Source organism: Homo sapiens, chromosome 4 (assembly GCF_000001405.40).
Source record: "Homo sapiens chromosome 4, GRCh38.p14 Primary Assembly".
Lineage (NCBI taxonomy): Eukaryota > Metazoa > Chordata > Mammalia > Primates > Hominidae > Homo > Homo sapiens.
In genome coordinates this window covers 82,557,502-82,581,628 of record NC_000004.12, presented here as the reverse complement: position 1 = coordinate 82,581,628, position 24,127 = coordinate 82,557,502, and the positions used below count along the sequence as shown (strand labels likewise).

The window sequence follows — 24,127 nt, the reverse complement described above, 5'->3', positions numbered from 1 at the left end:
ATTAGCCGGGTGTGGTGGCTATAATCCCAGCACCTGTAACCCCAGCTACTCGGGAGGCTGAGGCATGGCACGAGAATCGCTTCAACCTGGGAGGTAAAGATTGCAGTGAGCCGAGATTACGCCACTGCACTCCAGCCTGGGCGACAGAGCAAGACTCTGTCCCCCTAAAAAGGAAAAATATCTACTTTTGAATCAGAAGTCTCACATTTAGGAATTTTTCCAGAAATAAATGATTTCTGAATAAATGATTCGTTGTCAGGAATTGAAATACAACATTGGTGGAGGAGAACGGTTTGATTCTTTGACAGATCTTGTGGAGCATTACAAGAAGAATCTAATGGTGGAAACATTGGGTACAGTACTACAACTCAAGCAGCCCCTTAACATAACTTGTATAAATGCTGCTGAAATAGAAAGCAGAGTTCGAGAACTAAGCAAATTAGCTGAGACCACAGATAAAGTCAAACAAGGCTTTTGGAAAGAATTTGAGACACTGCAACAACAGGAGTGCAAACTTCTCTACAGCTGAAAAGAGGGTCAAAGGCAAGAAAATAAAAACAAAAATAGATATTAAAAACATCCTGCCCTTTGATAATACCAAGGTTGTTCTACATGACGGGATCCCAATGAGCCTGTTTCAGGTTACATCAATGCAAATATCATCATGCCTGAATTTGAAACCAAGTGCAACAATTCAAAGCCCAAAAAGAGTTACATTGCCACACAAGGCTGCCTACAAAACACAGTGAACGACTTTTGGCGGATGGTTTTCCAAAACTCCAGACTGATTGTCATGACAATGAAAGAAGCGGAGAGAGGAAAGAGTAAATGTGTCAAATACTGGCCTGATGAGTATGCTCTAAAAGAATATGGCGTCATGCGTGTTAGGAACGTCAAAGAAAGCGCCGCTCATGACTATACGCTAAGAGAACTTAAACTTTCAAAGGCTGGAGAAGGGAATTCGGAGAGAACAGTCTGACAATACCACTTTCGGACCTGGGCGGACCACGGAGTGCTCAGCAACCCCGGGGGTGTGCTGGACCTCCTGGAGAAGGTGCACCATAAGCAGGAGAGCATCATGGATGCAGGGCCGGTCTTGGTGCACTGCAGTGCTGGAATTGGCCGGACAGGGACGTTCATTGTGATTGATATTCTTATTGACATCATCAGAGAGAAGGTGTTGACTGCGACGTTGATGTTCCCCAAACCATCCAGATGGTGTGGTCTACGAGGTCAGGGATGGTCCAGACAGAAGCACGGTACCGATTTATCTATATGGCGGTCCAGCATTATATTGAAACACTACAGCGCAGGATTGAACAAAAGCAGAAAAGCAAGAGGAAAGGGCATGAATATATAAATATTAAGTATCCTCTAGCGGACCAGACGAGTGGAAATCAGAGCCCCCTCCCGCCTTGTACTCCAAAGCCACCCTGTGCAGAAATGAGAGGAGACAGTGCTAGAGTCTATGAAAACGTGGGCCTGATCCAACAGCAGAAAACTTTCAGATGAGAAAACCTGCCAAAACTTCAGCACAGAAATAGATGTGGACTTTCACCCTCTCCCTAAAAAGATCAAGAGCAGATGCAAGAAAGTTTATGTGAAGACAGAATTTGGATTTGGAAGGCTTACATTGTGGTTGACTACTTTTTGATAAGCAAAATTTGAAACCATTTAAAGACCACTGTATTTTAACTCAACAATACCTGCTTCCCAATTCCTCATTGCCTCAGATAAGAAGAAATCATCTCCACAATGTAGACATTATATTTTATAGAATTTTGTTTTAAATTAAGGAAGCAGTTAAATTGTGTGCTATAGTTTGCAGATTATGGGGATTCAAATTCTAGTTATAGGCTTTTTTTTTTCTTTTTACAAACTTAACCAGTTTAATTTTTTTTTCCTCATCGTGGGGGATGATAAGAAGAAATGATTTGGGAAAATTAAGTAAGAACATCCTAGAAAAGTGAGAACAATCTCATTTACCATCGTGTATCCAGTAGTGGATAATTCATTTTGATGGCTTCTATTTTTGGCCAAATGAGAATTAGGCCAGTGCCTGAGACTGTCAGAAGCTGACTGGTCTACCTTTGCATTGGCATTAAAGAGTCATAGAAAAAGAATCATGGATATTTATGAATTAAGATAAGAGGTGTGCCTTTTTTTTTCCCAGTCCATGACCAATTATAGTTTGGCTGTTGACTGAGAAGATTGTGGTGGGAAAATGTTTGCCATATTTTCTTTGCATTTGTGTAATTGTCTTGTACTTAGAAAAAAAGCACCTATGAATGACCAGTGTTTTTGGTTGTCAAATGTTGCTGACAAACTTACCCCAAAACTTCAGTGGCTTAAAAAATCCCTCACCCCCAACTGTTCTTCAATCTGAGCTGGGCTCATCTGGGCTGTTCTTCTGCTAGCCTGCAGGTGGCCACTCATGTGGTCAGTAGGTTGGTGGAGAGACTGGGGTGGCTGGGCTTCTCTCTCTGCCTGCAGTCCTGAGTCTCTCCTTCTCCATGTAATCTCTCTAAGTGGCTTTGCTGGCAGCATAGCTAGACCTCTCACATGAAGCTCAGAGCTCCCAAGAGCTTGAAAGAAGTGGCCAGGCCTTCTGAAGGCTTAAGTCCAGAGTCGTCGCAGCATCCCTTCTACTGCCCTCTATTGATGATGATGATGATGATTATTTTTTCTAATCAGAAGACAGCTGGAGTATTACCTCTACGTACTAAACAAGTCACAAGCCCAGTCCAGGTTCAAGAAAAGGGTGTGAAGTGGAGGTGCAGTTAATCGGGGGGCCACTAGTCTAACAGACAGTCACAACCAGTGCTATGGAAAACCAAAGATATTAGCAAAAGTAGAAGTTGCTAGTGACCTTGGGAAGCCGAAGCTGTTTACAGTAGCTGGGACAAGCTGAAAGTCAGACTGAGAAATAAAGAGAGGGCCTTCAAGAAGCTTCCTGAATGATTTCTGCCAGCCCTGAGCCTATTTTTGGAACCAGCATTTGGGGAAACTGATCTTGTCAGGATGGATATGTTTAGGGACACAGGGCTTTTGAGAGCAGCACCACTCCACTGGGGCAACCCCAGACTTGGAAAATGTGACTCTTCTAATGCCACTGGCTTTTAGTCAGGCCACAGTGAGAAGGAACAGCCCTAACAGGCCTCCAGTCAGGTTGAATGAGCTCATTTTTGTTTTAGCCAACCGGTAAGATTTACTAATGTTCTACCTTAAGTGCCTTCTCCAAAGACATCCCTGTTTGCCTCATATGTTGAAACATCATTCAGTGCGGATATTTCAATGAAAATATCATTGGTTGACTTTTGTAACAGTAATAAAATGCTATGGCATCTTTGCCGTGAAGTTAGGGTATCCTTGGATTCTTCTGACTTTGGCTCCTGAAAGGAAGGCCTAGATCCAGCCCTGGTAGTAGTTCCTTTCTGAGGTCTCTCAGTCCCTTGAGACCCTGAGGTAGTTTGGCTGCCATTCTCACAGAAAAAATGTATATTAGACCCCACTCCTGCCCCCCAATATTCATTGAACTTTGAATTGCTTCAGAACACAGGTTGGCCTGAAGGTATTCCCTTATTAGGGAAATGTCATGACTGCTGTCTTCTAGTCAAACTTGTAAAGAAAAAGATTCCAGTTCAGTATTTGCAGGAAGAAGCTTGAATCCTGTTCTTTTTATTGCATTGTTACATTGACCATTCTCCATTTTGCTTTGGTTTTGTCTTGACTTGACTTTGGGGGTAAAGTCTTTCACCAGCACACAAGAGTTTGATTGTACAAATATATCTCCTGCATTAACATCTCTGCATGTTGCTTAAGATCAGTTGCTTTTGTACTCAGAATGGAAATACCTGATCTTGGCTTGCTTTGTTTCCTATGTTTATTTCATTTAGATTTCCCTCCATGAGGTCAGCAAACTGTCATGTTCTTATGTAAACTTAAGCCAAGGCCAGAGTTATCATAGTCCCTAGGTTGCTAAGGCTTATCATGTGTTTGGTAAAAGGTGATTGCAGGTTCTCAGATGAGGTTACTTTACATGGGATAGAATCAGGCAGAATGGCTGGATGATGGAGAAAGCTCAGGGTGCAGGTTTAAAAAAAAGTTGTAGAAATGAAAAGTTCCAAAGAGGTGGTTTCTGAGGAAGTCAGAGAGCCCGGGGCCAAAGCAGTCCTTAATGGGTGAATCAGGTTATTTGGAAAGTCGGTGTGACAGACACATGGATGCCATCTACTTCTAGGTTGCTGGTAGGAGGTACTAAATATGCACAATATTCCACAGCTCACTGAGGATTTTAAAATTATAAGCATGGGATTTTATATTTTGGGGTGAAAGAATTATCTAGAATATGGTATTGGGGTTTTTGAAAAAGCCAAATTTCACAGTCTTAGTAACTTTAAAAAGAAAAACTAAAAGGCACTTCATGTCTAGTGTGTGGCCCTTCTGAAGCTGATGGTCATCTCTCCCACTGAAATCAGGGTCTTTTCAAATGTGGCTAAATGGGGATGAGAAAACACGGGTAGGACTTTCTTGGTGTGTGGTACGTGTGCATTCTTTGAAGAGCCCAGTTGCTTTGGGGAAACAGCCAAGAAAATGGTCAAGATTATGTTTAGAGTTTATTTTATTGGGGATTTTAAGAACTAATAACATCTTGAGTTATTTTTAGTTCAGGGGGATGTGGAAAGGCTTGCAATTATGAAATGTTTTGTTGTAGCCTAATATCCATAAGGGAAACTTAGACTGTAGACATAACTTCAAAGCCAGTGCAGTTTTTGTTTTCTGTATGTTGTTGGGGGAATCAAGTTTTTACATAGAGCAAGCACATGGCCACCCTGATGGCAGGATGCTTTGGTTAGGTCTGTATTTGCCCTCAATTTTGTTGAAATCTTTTTTCCCTCTTCCTCTTGAAAAGTTCCAAAATATAGTTTATTGGATCATTCATCACTAAAAACTTGTTCCTTTTTCACTACAGGCAGTTCACACAAGGCAAAAACTATTAAACAGTTGGTTTTAGTATGTCGTATAACTTTGCTGTATATCAAACTAATTTTGACAGGTTTTCATCTTAAGCCTCAAATCATGTAATTAATAATTTGCTGTTTATTTATGACCTAATTGTGATTCTTTTATTAATAAAAGCTAATGGGAAAAGGATCCCTGATTAATAAATAAATAGATAAATCACACATACATAAGTATATATATATGTGTATATATAATATATATACACACTATACATTGTTACATTGTTAATAGTGGCAAAAAATGGAAAGAGATATTTATCAGTAGGGCTATGGCTAAATAAATTGTGACACAACCAAATTATGGAATATTATTCAGCAGTTAGAAATGACTGCTCAGCTCATTTTTTGAGGCCCTGATACCAAAACCAGACAAAAACATCAGAAGAAAAGAAAACTACAGACTGGTATGTCTTAGGAATATAGATAAAAAAAACTTCAACAACATGTTAGCAATCCAAATCCAGCAGTGTATTGAAAAGATTATACATCATGACCAACTGGAATTTATTCCAGGAATGCAAAATTGATTTAACATCTGAAAATCAATCCATGTAACACATGAAATTAACCCATTTATGCCTGAAGTTGCAATTTTTTAATTTTTGCAATCAGACCTTGGCAATGACCTTAAGCAGCAGGATATAAATAACTCCCACATACTTAGGGTTCCAATAATGGAACACTAGGCTTCAATAGGCTAATAGAATTAAGGACAAAAGTATGATCATCTCAATAAACACCGAAGAAAGAGTTGACAAAATCCATCAGCCCTTCATGACAAAAGCACTCAACAACTAGACTAGAAGAGTATTTGTGAAAATTGATGAAGGCCACCTACAAAACACCCCACAGCTAACATCATATTCAATGATGAAAGGCTGAATGCTTTTCCCTAAGATCAGGAACAAAATAAAGATGTCCATTCTTGTCACTTCTAGTTAACATTGTGCTGGAGGTTCTAGCCAGGGCAATTAGGCAAGAAAAAGAAGTAACAGCATCCAAATTGAAAAAGGAAGATGTAAAACCATCTCTATTTGCAGATGACATAATCCTGAATATAGAAAATCTTGGGGAATGCACGTGCACACACACAATACCAGAACTAACGAATAAGTTTAGCAAAATTGCAGGTTACAAGATTAACATACAAAATCAGTTGTGTTTCTGGCCAGGCGCAGTGGCTCACGCCTGCAATCCCAGTACTTCGGAAGGCTGAGGCAGGCGGATCACTTGAGGTCAGGAGCTCGAGACCAGCCTGGCCAACATGGCGGAACCCTGTCTCTACTAAAAATACAAAAATTAGCCAGGCATGGTGGTGCACACCTGTAGTCCTAGCTACTCGGGAGGCTGAGGCAGGAGAATCTCTTAAACCTGAGAGGTGGAGGTTGCAGTGAGCCGAGATTGTGCCACTGCACTCTACCTTGGGCAATGGAGTGAATGAGACTCTGTCTCAAAAAAAAAAAAAAAAAAAAAAATTGAATTGTGTTTCTATACACTAGCAACAAACAATCTGAAAACAAAATTATAAAAAACGATGTATTTATAATAGCATCAAAAAGAATAAAATACTTAGGAATAAATTTAACAAAACAAATGCAAAACTTATATCTGAAAACTTCAAAACATTGTTGAAAGAAATTAAAGAAGATTTAGATAAACGGAAAAAAATTCCGCGTTCATGAATTGGAAGACCAATATTGTTAAGATGGCAATATTCTCCCAACTGATCTACAAGTTCAATACAATTCCTAGCAAAGCAACAGCTAGCTTCTTTGCCAAAACTGACAAGTTGGTTTAAGAATTCATATGTAAATGGGAGGGACACAGAATAACCAAAATAATTTTGAAAGAGAATAAAGTCAGAGAATGTCTTAGTCTGTTTTGTGCTGCTATAACAGAATAGCACAGAGTGGGTATTCTGTGAACAGAAATTTATTGGCTCACTGTTCTGGAGGCTAGGAAGTCTAAGATAAAGGAGCCAGTATCTGACAAGGGCCTTCTTGTTGCATCATCCCATGGCAGAAGGGCAAAGAGAGGGCAAGAGGAGCAAAAAGATGGGAGAGAAAAAGAGTTCAAAAGAAAGCAAGAGAGAAAAATGCATGTGGGCAGGAGAGCAAGAGGGGCAGAGCCCTTATAGCCTAATCACCTCCCATTAGGCCCCACCTCCACACTGTTGGGTTGGGGAATTAGGTTTCTAATACAAGCTCTTTCAGGGACACATTCAAACCATAGTGAAGGACGCAGACCTCCTAATTTTAAAACTTACTACATTAATCAAGGCAGTGTGGTGCTGGCATAAGGTAGACAGATAAATCACAGAATAGAATTGAGAGTCCAGAAACAAACCTTCACATTTATGGTCAATTGATTTTCAACAAGGGTGCCAAGACAGTCCAAAGGGGAAAGGAAAATCTTTTCAACAAATGGTGCTAAGCCAACTGGATAAGTCCATGCAAAAGAATAAAGTTGGACCCTTTCCTCATGTCCTACACAGAAAATAACTCAAAATGGATCAAAGGCCTAAATGTAAGAGTTAAAACTATAAAACTCTTGGAAGAAAGTATAGGAGTAAATCTGGCAGCCTTGGGTTAGGCAAAGTCTTCTCAGACATGACACCAAAGACATAAGCAACAGAAGAAAAAATGTAGCTAATTTGGACTTCATCAAAATAAAAAACTTTTGTGCTTCAAAGGATATCATTATAAAAGTGAAAAGACAACCAGAATAATAGGTTGTCACATATATATATATATATATATATATATATATATATATATATATATATATATATATATTTTTTTTTTTTTTTTTTTTTTTTTTTTTTTTTGAGTCAGCTTCTCGCTCTGTTGCCCAGGCTGGAGTGCAGTGGTGTGATCTTGGCTCACTGCAACCTCTGCTTCCCGGGTTCAAGCAATTCTCCTGCCTCAGCCTCCCCAGTAGCTGGGACTATAGGCGCCTGCCACATGCCCAGCTAATTTTTTGTATTTTTAGTAGAGACGGGGTTTCACCGTGTTAGCCAGGATGGTCTCGATCTCCTGACCTCATGATCCGCCTGCCTCTGCCTCCTAAAGTGCTGGGATTACAGGCATGAGCTACCTTGCCCGGCCAGGTTGTCATATATTTGATAAGAGACTTGTATGAAGAACCATCACAACTCAATAGTCAAAAGATAACTAAATTAAAAATGGGCAAAAGATCTGAGTAAACATTTCCTCAAAGAAGATATATGAATGGCCAGTAAGCACATGAAAAGGTGTTCAATATCATAGCCCTCAGGAAAGTGGAAATCAAAACCACAATGAGATACCACTTCACTCATTAGGATGGCTATAATTTTAAAAAGACTTAATGGACAATAACAATTGTTGGCAACTATATGGAGAAATAGAAATTCTCATACACTGCTGATGTTAATGTAAAATGGAGCCTCCAGGACAGTGAGCCAATACATTTCTGTTCACAGAATACCCAGTCTGTGCTGTTCTGTTATAGCAGCACAAAACGGACTAAGACATTCTCTGACTTTGTTCTTTGGCAGTTCTTCAAAAGGTTAAATATAGGGTTATTGAATGACCCAAAAATTTCACTACTATATATAACCAAAAGGAATGAAAACGTATATCCACATGAAAACATGTACATGAATGTTCACAGCAGCATTATTTCTAATAGTCAAATGATGGAAACAACCCACATGTCTACCAACAGATGAATGGATAAAAAAAATGTAGTACATTCTTTCAATAGACTCTACTATTTGGCAAAAAAGCAATTAAGTACTGATGCATGCTACAATGTGGATGAATAAGTTAAAGAATCCAGAAACAAAAGATCATATATCATACAATTCTATTTATATGAAATATTAAGAATGGGAAAATCCATGGAGACAAAAATTAGTTTAGTGGTTGTCCCTTGCAACCATTAATCTACTTTGGGGGGAAGTGGGAAATAATAGGTATAGAATAATAGGACTGATAATAGGTATAGAATTTCTTTTTGAGGCAATGAAAATGTTCTAAAATTGATTGGGGTCATAACTGCCCAACTGTGTACATCTACCAAAAATCATTGAATACACCATTAAATGGATATGTTGTATGGTGTATGAATTATATCTTAATAAAGCTGTGATTTTTAAAAAATAAATGAGCTAAATTTCTATCTATTGACTTGGAGAGATGTCCATGGTATACTTTTAAGTCAGAATAGAGAGTTCTATAGTAATATACATATCATAATCCCACTTTTTGTTTTAAAATGTGAATATATGTATGTACATGAACAAATTTTCAAAGGATGCATACCAGACTGTTCATACTGGAGGTAGGAAAGAAGGGGTTGGAGACAAGGGGAGATTATTAACTTTTTATTAGACATATTTGGATTTTTTTCACTTTTTTTTTTGAGACGGAGTCTCTGTCACCCGGGGCATCTCCGCTTCCTGCAAACTCCGCTTCCTGGGTTGAAGTGATTCTCACGCCTCAGCCTCCTGAGTAGCTGGGATTACAGGCACGTGCCACCATGCCCGGATTATTTTTGTAGTTTTTAGTAGAGACGCGGTTTCACCATGTTGGCCAGGCTGGTCTCGAACTCCTGATCTCAAGTGATCCACCTGCCTCGGCCTTCCAAAGTGCTGGGATTACAGGTGTAAGCCACCACGCCTGGCCTTTTCACTTTTTTTAGAAAAAAACTTTAGGGAGTTGATTAATTTATAAAAGTTTTGGTATACTTGTTGAAAATAAATTCCTTTGACCAAAGATATTAAAAACCCAGGAAAGGATCCACCAGAATCCATGTAAGATTGCAGCAACCGGATTTCTCCCTGTGAATGACATTCATACAAGCTAACTCTGTTGCTTCCTACAGTTGCAAACACTAATGGATCTCCTTTTTTACTGTGCCAGTTAAACTGAACTCCAAACAATGGTTGGTTATGATCTTCCTCGAGACTGTTTATACATTAGAAAGAATATTTGCATTTCTTTGACTTCCATTTTCCCTTTCCTCAACTTTTCCTTTCAGGTGTCTTTGGCGTGTTTGTAGGTATATCAGAGCATTCAGTGTTTGTAACACTTTCTTTTTTTTTTTTTTTGAGACGGAGTCTCGCTCTGTCCCCCAGGCTGGAGTGCAGTGGCGCGATCTTGGCTCACTACAAGCTCCGCCTCCCGGGTTCACGCCATTCTCCTGCCTCTGCCTCCCGAGTAGCTGGGACTACAGGCGCCCGCCACCACGCCTGGTTAATTTTTTGTATTTTTAGTAGAGACGGGGTTTCACCGTGTTAGCCAGGATAGTCTCGATCTCCTGACCTCGTGATCCGCCCGTCTCGGCCTCCCAAAGTGCTGGGATTACAGGCATGAGCCACCGCGCCGGGCCTCAGTGTTTGTAACACTTTCTATACTGACGGCATCATCATTCTCAACTCCAGAGAGGTCTGGGTTGCTGTTCTCCTCACTGCTTAGCTTCTCAGTTTCACTTTTTAATTGGGCATGTAGGACATATATTTTTTAAAGGTGAAATAAAGAAAGAAAATCAAATCATTGAAAAAGAGAGTGGGGACAGTAAGAAAGGGAGATTGGAGCAGGGGAGAGAGTGGAGGCTGAGGGAAGAAGTAGGGCAATCAAGCATAATAAAGGTGACCAGGACTTGCCCTAAAAGAGTAGAAACAAAAAGAAGACAGATTCCCAGGATGTTGTAAAAGTAGAATTAAGAAATAGGACTTAATTCCTGAATGAAGATGAGATCTTTTGAAGAGAAAAAGAGTTCTTGCTAACTCCCAGATTTCAGGCTGATCTATGAATAAGGAGGCTTCCTAGAGTGTGGTTTTGAACTGGAGGTACTGGCTGGCTGATCACATGAAGACACAGGATGGATGAGTGGTTTGCAAAGAGATACCATTAGACATAGGGCCAGACCACTGTTAGAAGAGATAGGATCAGGCGTAGGATGTTGAGGACCACTTCTGCACAAGAGGAGCTTCCTGTGAAGGAATATGTGAGGAGCAGTCGGAGAGGAAGAAGGAAATCCAGGAGATTGCAATGACATCCCAGGAACAAAAGGATGGGTGAGTTTTGAGGAGGACAACCAGGAGTCTCTGCAGCAGTTAGTGGAACTCAGTGACCAAAGAGTCATTCACTGTAAAGCTACAAGGAGCATTTTTGACAGAGGAGGTGTGGAATTGAAAGATTAGTGGGGGCTGAAAGTAAAGCAAGGACTGGAAGTAAAGGGGAGGTGGCAACTTTTGAGAATTTTCTCATCGAAGGGAAGGGAAGTGATGAAATTGGAGCTTGACTAAGAAGGCAGGATCTATGGAAGGTGTTTTTAGGATGGAGGAAATACGCATATGTTTGTAGGCTAAGAGGAATGACCACTTGAGAGGGAGGGATCAGGTACCAAAAGAGAGAGTATTAGGGGAGGGCAGAATAAAGATAACAGCTGATAGAGTTTGGCTTGGAAACAAAGTTGGAGACCTTTAACTTCTAAGAGGGTGGAGAGAGAAAGAGAGATGATAAAAAGATACTTTTTGGAGAGAAGTTGAGAATATTTTCCAAGAGACCCCAATCAGGGATGACATTTAAAATATGTAACAATCAGTGCAGAAAGGACACCAGCCTGTCAGACACTGGCTACCCACCTCAGCAGATCTAGGAGGCCTCCTTCTCCGTTTCCTGTTAACTCTTTAGTTGCTGGATCATAGCAAGGTCTCAGGGTAAAGACTGGGCAGTTGGGTGGCAGACAGCAGAGTGGGACAATAAAACAATCAGGCTGAAGAAACATCACTTGGTTAGAACTTTAAAAAACTGAATAAGAATTACTAAAAGTCCTCAAAAACAGCCGTTTGTGGCGAAAAGGATATGATACCATAAAATGATTAGTCATTAGCTCTCTAATTTAGAAGGTTTTTTTAAATCAATAGAGAATGGATGACTTCCCTAAGCTTAATGCATGTTGGCAAAAAGTCCAAAGAGGGGACTGATTAAAATCAAAATTGCCCACTCTTTTGGCTTATTCTCTTGTAGCAGACAAGAATCTCCTAGTTAAAATAGGGAAAATGGAGTAAAATAGGGAAAATTTCAGTGAATTTCAGAACATAGGATCTGGTTTTCATTTGTGGCTCTCCCTCTGAACACCAGTCGCAGATGGCTTTGCAACTCTGTTTCTCACTGGAGGAGGATGGCAGGAGTGATACAGGACTCCAGAGAATACAGGAAAATGCTCGGGAATTCCCAGATCACAATTGCCAAGTGCATAATATGGAAACTGTCACCAAGGTAACATGTCACCTTCAAAGGAAGGCACCACTGTGCTTGTCAGTACCTCATTTTGGAAATAGTTCTTGCTTATCACTCCAAACCATTGCAGCGATCTCACGCCAGATATGCTGGTCTGACGGCTGCTCACCTGTGGAGCAGTCTGAAAACTTGGTCCTTGATCTGTGGTGTACTGTAGCCTTTCCAAATAGAATTTTCTTGCTGAAAGAGGCCTTGGCAATCATCTTATGCAGGCCCTTTAAGAAGAGGAAACTACAGCTTATTTACAGTTATTTACAGACAGTTATTTACAGACACTTATTTAATAGAAGGCTAAGCAACATTTAGATTCCTGGCTCTTTTAATCCAGTATCCTTATTTCTAACGTACTTGTTGGGAAGCTTAAACTATAATTTATATACATACAAAGGGAATTTCTTGACACATATGACATGCTAATAATTCAGGTAAGATGTCAGAATGAGACATCCTCAGAGATTTTAAGATATAATATGGAGTGCATTGTATTTGAATGGATAGCTGATATGCTGACCCAGCTGGGCTCATGGGTACATTCAGAATGCAGCTTTATTTTCTTCCGTTAAATCTGCTCTGTGGGGCCAGTTTTCCTGCCCCTCAGATGACTGAATACACAGGCCCTATGACATTTTAGGTTACTCTCAAATAATTAAAAGGCCTCTGATTACTTTTAGCCAAAAATACACTCTCATTTCAGTAATTAATATGCATCATACAGGTCGGGCGTGGTGGCTCATGCCTGTAACCCCAACACTTTGGGAGGTCAAAGTGTGTGGATCACTTGAAGTCAGGAGTTTGAGACCAGCCTGGCCAACATGGTGAAACCCCATCTCTACCAAAAATATTAAAAATTAACTGGGCATGGTGGCGCACACCTGTGATCCCAGCTATTTGGGGGGCTGAGGTGGGAGGATCACTTGAACTGGGAGGCAGAGGTTGCGGTGAACCGAGATTGCGCCACTGCACTCCAGCCTGGGTGATAGAGCGAGACTCCGTCTCAAAAAAAAAAAAAAAAAAAGTTGTTAGAAGAGATAAGATACAGGCATTACCTTGGAGACATTATAGGTTCGATTCCAAACTACTATAATAAGGAGAATATTTCAATAAAGCAAGTCTCTCTCTCTCTCTCTCAAACACACACACACACACACACACACACACACACACGCACACACAAATATATATACATAGTACAATTTGACCCAGAAATCCATTTTTAGGTTTATACCCAAAGGAATATAAATCATTCTACCATAAAAACACATGGACCTGTATGTTCATTGGAGCACTATTCACAATAGCAAAGTCAGGGAATCAACCTAAATGCCCATCAACAGTAGACTGGAATGGGCGCGGTGGCTCATGCCTGTAATCCCAGCACTTTGGGAGGCTGAGGTGAGCGGATCACTTGAGCTCAGGAGTTCGAGACCAGCCTGACCAATGTGGCGAAACCCTGTCTCTACTAACAGCACAAAAAAATTAGCTGGGTGTAGTGGCGAACGCCTGTAATCCCAGAAACTCAGGAGGCTGAGGCAGGGGAATTGCTTGAACCCAGGAGGCGGAGGTAGTGGAGTGAGCTGCACTCCAGCCTGGGCGACAGAGTGAAACTATGTTTCAAAAAAAAAAAAAAAAAAATAGACTGGATAAAGAAAATACGGTACATATACACCATGGAATATTATGCAGCCATAAAAAAGAATGAGATCATATCCTTTGCAGCAACATAGCTGGAGCTGGAGGCCACAATCCTAAACAAATTAATGCAAGAACAGAAAACCAGACACCGCATATTCTCGCTTAGAAGTGTGAGCTAAACATTGAGTACACATAGACAGAAAGAAGTGAACAACAGACATGGAGCCTACTTGAGGCTGGCAGGTGGGAGGAGGGACAGGATTGAAAAAATCCCTATTGAATACTATGCGTTTACCTGGGTGACAAAATAATCTGTACACCAAACCCCTGTGACATGCTGTTTACCTGTATAACAAACCTGCACATGTACTCCTGAACCTAAAAGTTTTTTTAAAAATATGTAGTACAGTAAAATAATCTTAAAAATTCCACACTTCAGCGGGAAAAGGTGGGTAATGGTAGGCTTCCTGTGTTTTCCTTCCAGCCTAGTGCTTCCACCTCTTTCTACTCTCACTGGCTACCCGGTTCCTCCAAGACGGAAAAGGGGAAGAGAGAGCTGAGGAGCCGGAAAGGTGTTGGATGGCTCTCACTACCATGGCTACCTCTGGCCATGGCAGATGTTTCCAGCTGATGCTTTCTCTTATGATCCCTGTGATGGGTTTGTTGGACATCGCTTACCACAGCCACCCTGCTGGGGAGCTTCTCACCACCCAGTCATCCCCTTGGCATGAGCAGGTTCATTTTGCCTCTGCCTCATCGCTTTAGAGTCTTGCCCTAGACCCTGCACATTTGGAGGCAAACCTCTGGCCTCTTTCTGCAGAGACTTCTGCCTTTGCAAGCAATCCTCTTGGGTACAATCAAGGTCAATCCTGCTGTGTGTCACTCTCTTAGACTTGTCTTCCGTGAGAGTAAATTACTTCCCCAGCCACAGTCCCTACCTGATATTCAGGCCACTTTTACTAACTCTGGTCCTTTAGGTTTCTCAGGCATGAGCCAGGCACCAGTCCATGGTATTCCCTAAACTGCAGGGGACATCCACGGAGCTCTCCAAGAGGTCTTCCTGAAGTCTTTCTCACTAGACTTAAGGTGAGAGAAAAGCCCCTTCCCCTCCCTGTTAAGTGCAGAGAAAGGGCCTCTTAGAATACCTATGACATGACAGGGTAAATGAGAAATTCAGGAACACTCCTTTGCAAATTCTGCATAGTAGTACAGAACTTTGTTTGGCATGTGAGTGTGGTTGACAACTATTATCTGAGGCCTCTCTAAAAATGGGAATAAAATAAAGGCTTCCATTTAACATCCCGTGACCAGATGTACTCTCACTATCGTTCCAATTGCCCTAACAAGGTTATCTTTAATAGGCAGTTTTGATAACAATAAAATGCCATTCCAATGACTTTCTTTGATTTTTTTTTTTTTTTAGATGGAGTCTCGCTCTGTCCCCAGGCTGGAGTACAGTGGTGAGATCTCGGCTCACTGCAACCTCTGACTCCCTGGTTCAAGAATTCTCCTGCCTCAGCCTCCTGAGTAGCTGGGATTACAGGCATGCACCATCACACCCAGCTAATTTTTTGTATTTTTAGTAGAGACAGGGTTTCACCATGTTGGCCAGGATGGTCTCCATCTCCTGATCTCATGATCCGCCCGCCTCAGCCTCCCAAAGCGCTGGGATTACAGGTGTGAGCCACTGCGCCCAGCTGATTTTGTTGTTTATCAGAGACTACTTGGATTACCAGTTGTTGGATAAGGTTTGGCAATAACTTCGTTATACAGAGATTTTTATTATAATGAAAGTCATTGCAATTGGACCAGCAGCAGGGATTTCCAGAATCCCTGAGAGCGTTATTTATGAGCTGTGCTTCTCAATTCTGTTTTTTCAAATGAATTAGGGAAGTGATTTGAATCATAAAATAACAAAAACAAATTGACTGCCCAAGAGAAAGAAAATGAGCAAGAATATAAAATTTCTTTGTAATTCTAAATGTTCTGTAGTGGTTTCAGTTAGATAATAAATTCATTTATATCAGGAAACCGCCCCCCAACTCAGATAGATGGATGTTTGTGCTGTGCACCAGAGTTAGGACATCAGCCTTGTAGAACAACATGGTGTTGAAATTAGGATGCCTCGTTGTGGTTCTGTAGAATGTTGATGTCTCTGAGTATGGATCTCCATTTGACACAAAATTTTACAAAGTTTGTGGCTGGCATCTCTTTCTGGGCCTTACGCTCTATTTCTTCCATGCCCCAGTCTCTAACTCTGTGCTTGGTCTTTCCTCACAGACTGAATCACTTTGGAACATATCAACAGATCATTTAAAGGTACAAAATGAATATTTGTATGCAATTTTTAAAAAGACAGCCAGTTGTGATCAAACTCCTTACCATCAGTAGGACACACATGAGAGTTCTGAGAATAAGAGGAAGAGAGTTCACATATGAGAGGGCAGAACCAAGCTCAGTGGTGTAGGAGTTCTTGGGAACAGGGGGAGTGCTGCAGATGTTAGACAGAGAACCTAAATCCTTCACTGCCAATGGCCATTCCAGAGATGGCCTTTGAATTGGAGGCAGAAGTGGGACAGAACCTTTATTCAATGTCACATTTTATAATGGACCAATGTGACAACCTCCCAAGTGATGCCAAGGCATAGCACATACTCCGAGAGCTAGCTTCCTATAAAAAGGAGTAAGAGGCCGGGTGCGGTGACTCACGCCTGTAATTCCAGCACTTCGGGAGGCCGAGGCAGGCAGATCACGAGGTCAGGAGATCGAGACCATCCTGACTAACATAGTGAAACCTCGTCTCTACTAAAAATACAAAAAAAATTAGCCAGGCGTGGTGGCGGGCACCTGTAGTCCCAGTTACTCGGGAGGCTGAGGCAGGAGAATGGCATGGACCCGGGAGGCGGAGGTTGCAGTGAGCCGAAATCGCACCACTGCACTCCAGCCTGGGCGACAGAGCGAGACTCCACCTCAAAAAAAAAAAGAAAAAAAAAAAGGAATAAGAAGAGGATGTAGGAAGATCCTCACAAATATGTGCTTGCCTCATCAACACAACAATTCCTCACTCTCACTCCCCAAATACTCAGGACCAAGCTGCCTTGGGGCCTTTAATGGTCTTTGTGAGGTAGAAGCAAGTGCTGGCTGGAAGCCTTCAGAGATTCATTTAAAATTCATCCCCCAAAAAATACTCAAAAGAAAAAAGGACAACCGGTTCTGGAAAAGTATTTCAGTCTTACACCCATATATGATTTAAAATATCTAAGGGTATATTGAGTACATGGTGGACAACAAATTTTAACAGATGGGATACCAAGAAAAAGGCACAGAGAAGCCCATGTTTTGCTTGTACTCTCGAAGCTTCGCTCGAACTCTCATGACATTAACAGAATCTGCTTATAGCAACCAACTCTCCTTCATGGCCAGCATTTTAACACACAATTTCAGCTGGTAATATCACTGTCAGGAATGTAATTCATTTTGCTTTTTGGGTTTATTTGGAGGGACATTTTGGAGATGAAGGCGGCGGTGATTTAGTGGTGCTGAGGAATGGCACTGAGCCTGCGATCCTCACAAACTCAAGTTGGTTTTTTTTAGGAAACATAGGCCTGGCTCTAAATGAAAATGAAAATGTTGAAATAAATTAAACCTGGTGCATGGATTCTCAATCCTTCCACAAAAAAATGGGGGAGGGGAAAGTAAGGGCATTTTACAAATTGGGAGCCCTATTCCCAAGAAAGGGAGTGATATGGCATGGCCATGTCGGAATCACCTGCGGTTCTTTGTCAAAATACCTGTGTTCTGGTTTCCCCCGCCACCTCCAATCAGGTTTTGACTCTGGGTCTGAGGTGAACCCAGGCATCATTTTCTAAAGCCCCCACTGGTGATTCTGATGTGAAAACAGAGTACCACTTCTGTGTTTGAGGGACAGCTAATTCTTTGGCTGGATCTACTTCTGAAAGAATGAATTGGAAGATCTAGCTAGAGGACTCTTTCCGTTATTGCAGAGAGAAATGAATGGCATGGGGACAGGGAGTAGAGAGAGGAGGGGTTCATGGATGGGCCTCAAGCAATCTTACCTTTGGGGGAGTCAGACCACTTTGAGGGTCTGATTAATGTGTAGTTACTCTCCTCAGAAAAGTACACATAAGCTAATTCCCACAAAATTGAGCATATACTTTCAAGGGAGTCTAGACTAAGATTCAGTTTTTGCTTTTGCTATTTTAATTGAATGGATAACAGTCCCACTCATTAAAATAAGGAAAACAAGAGAAGGCAAGATCCCTGGTCTCAGGAAGCTTACAGTCTAGTAGCCAGGAGAAAACAGTAACAAGAAATCAACATACAGAAAAAAAAAAAGAATCAATATACACATAGTAGACAATAATCACAAGAATTGTGGGGAAGGGAGAGTTCTGGAACCGAACGTTAATTGCAGAATTTGAATATGCTGAATTGGAGAAGATTCTTAGAAACACCTGGTTGGGCCGGGCGCGGTGGTTCACGCCTGTAATCCCAGCAGTTTGGGAGGCTGAGGCAGGCGGATCACTTGAGGCCAGGAGTTTTGAGACCAGCCTGGCCAACGTGGTGAAACCCCGCCTCTACTGAAAATACAAAAATTAATCGGGCATGGTGGCGGGCGCCTGTAATCCCAGCTACTCAGGAGGCTGAGGCGAGAGAATCGCTTGAACCCGAGAGGCAGAGGTTACAGTGAGCCGACATTGCGGCACTGCACTCCAGCCTGAGCGACAGAGCAAGACTCCGTCTCAAAAAAAAAAAAAAAAAGAAAGAAAAGAAAAGAAAAGAAAAAGAAAAAGAAAAAGAAAAAGAAAAAAAGGGAATGCCTGCTTGTGTAGAGACAGCAGTTTAAAGGAGACAGGTGTGCTACGGAAGCCCCCAAAAGAATAGAGGGCAGACTGACAAAGGCCGGTTGATAGAGAGCCACCTGTTGGAGGCCAGAGAGGTTGTGTTTGGAACCCAGGCTCATGATGAGCCTAAGATAAAAATGGCATTGATCCATGCTGCTGCTAGAGGTCACTGACATGGTGCCATGGGGTCCCATGGTAGGTTGGGGGTCCGGGATGGGGGAAGCTGTCAAAACGCTGATGAACACAGTTTATGACGGACTCAGACGAGACCCAGGGAGGAAAGCTGCAAGCTGGCGCTGGGAGGTCGGCCTTGGTGTCTGCTGTTCATTGCCAGGGTCCGAAGTTGGCTCTGTGTTTGTTCAATAGGATGGAAAAAAAAAAACCAAAAACCGCGGGACAGCGCTGAGTGGAGGAGAACTACATTCAGTCAATGGGCATGAAAATGAATTTTAGCTGCTTTGTGCAAAAACCCTAGGTGTGCGGACGAAAGAGAGCCAGGCAGAAGGTTACAACAGGTCAGGAATAAATAACCACCAGGCGGAGGATCCAAGATTCTGTCCTTCCTTTTGTTGGATGAGGAGCGCCAGGCAAACGCGTCCACAAAGGCTTCGGAAGGAAGCGGCTCGCCCGCCCACACCCGGCTCCTGCCCCGGGTGACTATTAGGGGCCCCGGGGGGGTGGCAGAAGCCCGAGACCCAGGGGATCAACTCTCCCCGAAGGCCTAGCAGCGGGGACCCCAGAATAAGTCGGGGGCGGGCCCCGGCGCGGCAGGAGGGGGCCGGGCGGGCGGGTGAGCAGATCCCACCCCTTCCTGAAGGAAGCGCCCTACCCGCCGCTACTGCTGCCGCCGCCGCCACCGCAGCAGGTCACAGCCCCTCGAGGCGACAGCGGCCCCGCCGCACCAGAGCAGGTAGGCGCGGCGCCCCCTCCCCTGCCTGGGCCCGTCGCGCAGCCAGGGGGCGTCCGGCCCGGCCCCGTGCGCAGCCCGCAGGCGGAGACCGGGGACGGCGGGGGCTGCAGCGCGGCTGGGGCGGCTGGGTCCGCCCGGCTGCGGGGCCCTGCTCGGCTGCGGCCCCCTCCCATAGCGTCCCGGGCGCGGGGCCGCCCGCCCGAGCCCTCCGCGGGCGCACGCTCCCCGGCAAGTCCAGGAGTCGGTGCCGGCTCTGCCCCGCGACCTGCGAACGCCCGAGCCGGCGCGCCTCGGTCCCCGCCGCCGCAGTGCCGCCAGCCAGCCCGCCCGCTGCGGCCCCGGCCCCGGCCCCGGCCCCGTCCTTTGACAGGTGTCCCCACCCGCCGCCCCATCATCTCGTTATCGGGTGGACTCGGGTGAGAAGCGACCCCAAGTTTGACCTCCCGGTCCCTGTGCCATTCTCCCTGCACTTTGCGGTTAGCCAGGTCAGGCTGGCTCGGGAAGCAGGGGATCTGGGAAGGAGGCACTAACTTGCTTTGCCCTGTGTACCGCCCTCCACTCTAAATGCACAGTCTTCCTTCCTTTCCTGGGCGCACACTTGGGAAGAAATGGGATTTTTGGTTTTTCGGCGGGAGGCCGTGGTAGGTGGGTTACCTAGGCTCTTTGGTAATCTGCTGCAATAAAAAAGTGATTAGCTTTGGGTTCTGGAGAGAGTCCTTGAGTGGTTTTCCCCTCCTTAAATGAATCAAATGGAGTATGAGAGGGTTTTCCCATTTTAAATTCATGCTCCTTTTTTCTCTACTCATTCCTTTCCTCCACCCCTACCCCCACAGCACTTTATGATGTCCCACACATTTCACTGATCTTTTTGGTCAGGTTTATTCCGGCCAGACCGCCTTTCACGGTTGGGCCAGGATTGTGACCGCATGTGGGAACATAGCTCAGGTAGAATGGAAGTCCATCTTCCCGAGTGAACCCACTCCGATGTCCTACATGCGAGGTCCTGTTGGGGAACCAGATATACCAATGCCATGTTGAAAAACAAAACCAAACAGTTATTGGATCTAAAACAATAACAAAGCCTAAATGGCAGGATCAGTTTCTGCATCTTTCTCTGCTTGAACCAAAGACATTTTAATAGTGCAGGGCTATAACTCCATTCTGGGCAGCAGTTCATCGAAAGGATAGTTGAGTGTGGATTTATAAACTCCATGGTAGCAGTCATTAAACTGACCTACTTAAAGTTTCCTATTTCAAGGAAAAATTGTTAGGCCCATATATGTGACCGATCAAAGAATTTTAGTCTCAGCTCTCATGTATCAAATCCCAAACTTTTTCTTGTATGTGTTCTAGAGACTCCATGTTTCCAGGATTAACTATAGCTGTCATCTATTAATGAGCTAGAAATGTGAGTTTAATCTTCAAGGCATAAGCGTAGGAATTTTAATGGTGTGTCCTTTATACATTATTTAATAAATGTTTTGCAAGTCCCCCAAGTTGGAAGCTCACAAACTGGACATGGTAAATAAAAGGGTAAAGAAGTTTTGCTAACAATAATGACTAGTTGATAGATGTTATGACATTCACAAATATATTAAAGTATTTGAAAAACACTTTAATGCATGTTTATTATAATCTGCCATTAGCTGAATGCAATCTGTTTGGATTATTTAAATTGGCATTTAAGTCTTCAGAGCAATTGCTTAATTCATGCATTTCTTACAAATACCTTTTCCATGTTGCTTTGTGGGGGGATAATTTGCTCTATGGAGTAATTTTTTTTTTTGCGTGAACACAATAATGCGTTCTATTTAGCCTTTGTTGTAGAACTACCACAATCATGTTCACAATGACCTTGCAGGGGTTTTTGGGCTCACTTTATCTGCTTTGCAATTGTCAAGAGAGAAGGCCCTTTGCTTTACACTCTTGTCTGTCTTCCTGCTTTGTCTCGCCTGTGACCCACACCTCTTTAGTACAGTGGGTCAGATTAGCAGGGCAGCCTGGAGTCATGAGAGAGGAAAAGCTAGCTGGACCCCGCAATCTCAGCCATTTGGTTTCACTGCAATCTGGCCATTTGGGATCAGTTCAGTAACCAATTAAGCAAGACAAGCACTGACAAGATAATGTATTACTTCTCAGTCATCCCCTTTCACAGAAGAATCTGTAACACTTAGAATCAGCACTACGGTGTGATTAGGTTCTGGTAAGGGTCCAATGAGATGTGTGCTGAAGTTCCCAAAACATTATAGGGTCCAAGTGTTATTGAATCCAGGTCTAAGTTCATGAAAAGCGTAGGACTAGACACAGGTGTGTAATAAGTGTGTCCCTACTTTTTTTGTTTGTTTGTTTTTGAGGCGGAGTCTCACTCTCTCGCCCAGGCTGGAGTGCAGTGGCACAATCTCAGCTCACTGCAACCTCCGCCTCTTGGGTTCAAGCGATTCTCCTGCCTCAGTCTCCCAAGTAGCTGGGATTACAGGCGTCCACCAGCATGCCTGGCTAATTTTTTTTTTTTTTTGTATTTTTAGTAGAGACGGGGTTTTACCATGTTGATCAGGCTGGTCTTGAATTCTTGACCTCAATTGAGCCACCCGCCTCGGCCTCCCAAAGTGCTGGGAATACAGCCAGGAGCCACTGTGCCCAGCCCCTGTCACATGGGTCCGTGTGAAGAGAGTCCACCAACAGGCTTTGTGTGAGCAACAAGGCTGTTTATTTCACCTGGGTGCATGTGGGCTGAGTCCGAAAAAGGAGTCAGCAAAGGGTGGTGGGATTATCATTAGTTTTTGTAGGTTTTGGGATAGGCGGTGGAGTTAGGAGCAATGTTTTGCAGGCAGGGGGTGGATCTCACAAAGTACATTCTCAAGGGTGGGGAGAATTAACAAAGAACATTTTTAGGGGTGGGGAAATTACAAAGAACCTTCTTAAGGGTGGGGGAGATTACAAAGTACATTGATCAGTTAGGGTGGGGAAGAAACAAATCACAATGATGGAATGTCATCAGTTAAGGCTATTTTCACTTTTGTGGATCTTCAGTTGCTTCAGGCCATCTGGATGTATACGTGCAGGTCACAGGGGATATGATGGCTTAGCTTGGGCTCAGAAGCCTGACAGCCCCTACTTATTTTAACTATAAATTTTTACTCCTGGAGCTGATGGTGCCATGTAGCTTTATATTTTTTCATAGTTGTTCTAAGTATTTTAAAACTTGTTCATAAATTATTGGAACTTTAAGTTATTGTTATCACCAAATATCATTTCCTGGTATGTTTAGATTTTTTTTTTTTTCTGGTATGTTTAGATTTTGAAAGACAACTTGTGGCAATGGAAAATCAATCATCATGCAAAGAGATTTTAGATCAGCCATTTAGAATATTTTGAGATAATCGTGAAATCTTTGGCAGTAGCCTTCAAATTCAGCCCCAAACTATTCTGAGTCAAACCAGCTTTGGTAGGTAGGGCTTGAAGCTCTTTTACTAAGTGAGAAATTAATATTTTCCTTTTTGGCATCTATAAACAGCCTTTTCTAGATCAGTGCTGTCCAAAAGAACTTTCTGCATTGATGGACATGTTCTGTAATCTGTCCAGTATGATAACCATGAGCCACATGTGGCTATTGAACGCTTGAAATGTGGGCTAGTGTAATTGAGGAACTGAATTTTAAATTTTATTTAGCCGTAATTAATTTAAATAGCCACATGAGGCTAGTGGCTACCATATTGGACAGTATAGTTCTGAATTTTCTCCCCATATTTCCTAGAGAGATAGCATTTAAAGGCAATTATCCTTTAATTAGAAAAAAAAAAGTGGCAATTGGCATTGATAATACCAGAATTGAGATTTGACTTCATAATCCTATTGCTATGAAAAACCACTTGTGAGGCCACGTGCAGTGTCTCACGCTTGTAATCCCAGCACTTCGGGAGGCTGAGGCGGGTGGATCATGAAGTCAGGAGTTTGAGACCAGCCCGGCCAATACAGTGAAACCCTGTGTCCACTAAAAATACAAAAAAAAATTAGCTGCGCATGGTGGCAGGTACCTGTAATCCCAGGGAGGGTGAGACAGGAGAATCGCTTGGTCCCGGGAGAGGCAGAGGTTGCAGTGAGCCAAGATCGTGCCACTGCACTCCAGCCTGGGCGACAGAGCTAGACTCCATATCAAAAAAAAAAAAAAAAAGAAAAAGAAAAGAAAAACCACTTGTACTTGCTCTGAAGAAGATATTTTGTGCTGAAGTTCAACCCTACTCTAAAAACTGTTTCTCTTTTTAATTTCTATGTGTCTGCTAGCCTCAATAATAAGCATCACCCAGAGTTGTTTAGATGCCTGGCCCCTCGTGTCGGTGTTCATGAACTTGGGCTTATTTGCTCTTTTGCACATTACAGATCATGTATTCTTAGAGTCAGTTTCTG

The 24,127-nt window shown here is 42.8% G+C and overlaps 1 protein-coding gene and 1 pseudogene across 3 annotated transcripts in view, besides 1 other annotated feature; both read left to right on the top strand.

Moving 5' to 3' along the window:
• On the top strand, nt 245-1,110 carry PTPN11P5 (PTPN11 pseudogene 5; annotated as a pseudogene).
• TMEM150C (transmembrane protein 150C) overlaps nt 19,376-24,127 on the top strand; it is a 79,078-nt gene continuing 74,326 nt past the window's right edge. For 2 of the 3 annotated variants that reach the window (NM_001353455.2, NM_001080506.3), the window contains exon 1: nt 19,641-19,723. Coding sequence is in view for 1 of the 3 variants with exons in the window: in NM_001353454.2 (NP_001340383.1) it covers nt 19,387-19,466 (80 nt within the window). In the remaining 2 variants the exon portion in view is untranslated. Of the gene's footprint in view, nt 19,467-19,640; nt 19,724-24,127 lie in introns of those variants that run through there. The other variant, NM_001353454.2, reaches the window with a different exon arrangement.
• Nucleotides 19,416-19,915: an enhancer, noted in NCBI's record as "H3K27ac hESC enhancer chr4:83482867-83483366 (GRCh37/hg19 assembly coordinates)". NCBI's record gives its function as "activates a minimal SCP1, AML or CMV promoter by ChIP-STARR-seq in naive H9 embryonic stem cells {active_cell/tissue: H9 hESC(naive)}" and the evidence as "EXISTENCE:reporter gene assay evidence [ECO:0000049][PMID:30033119]".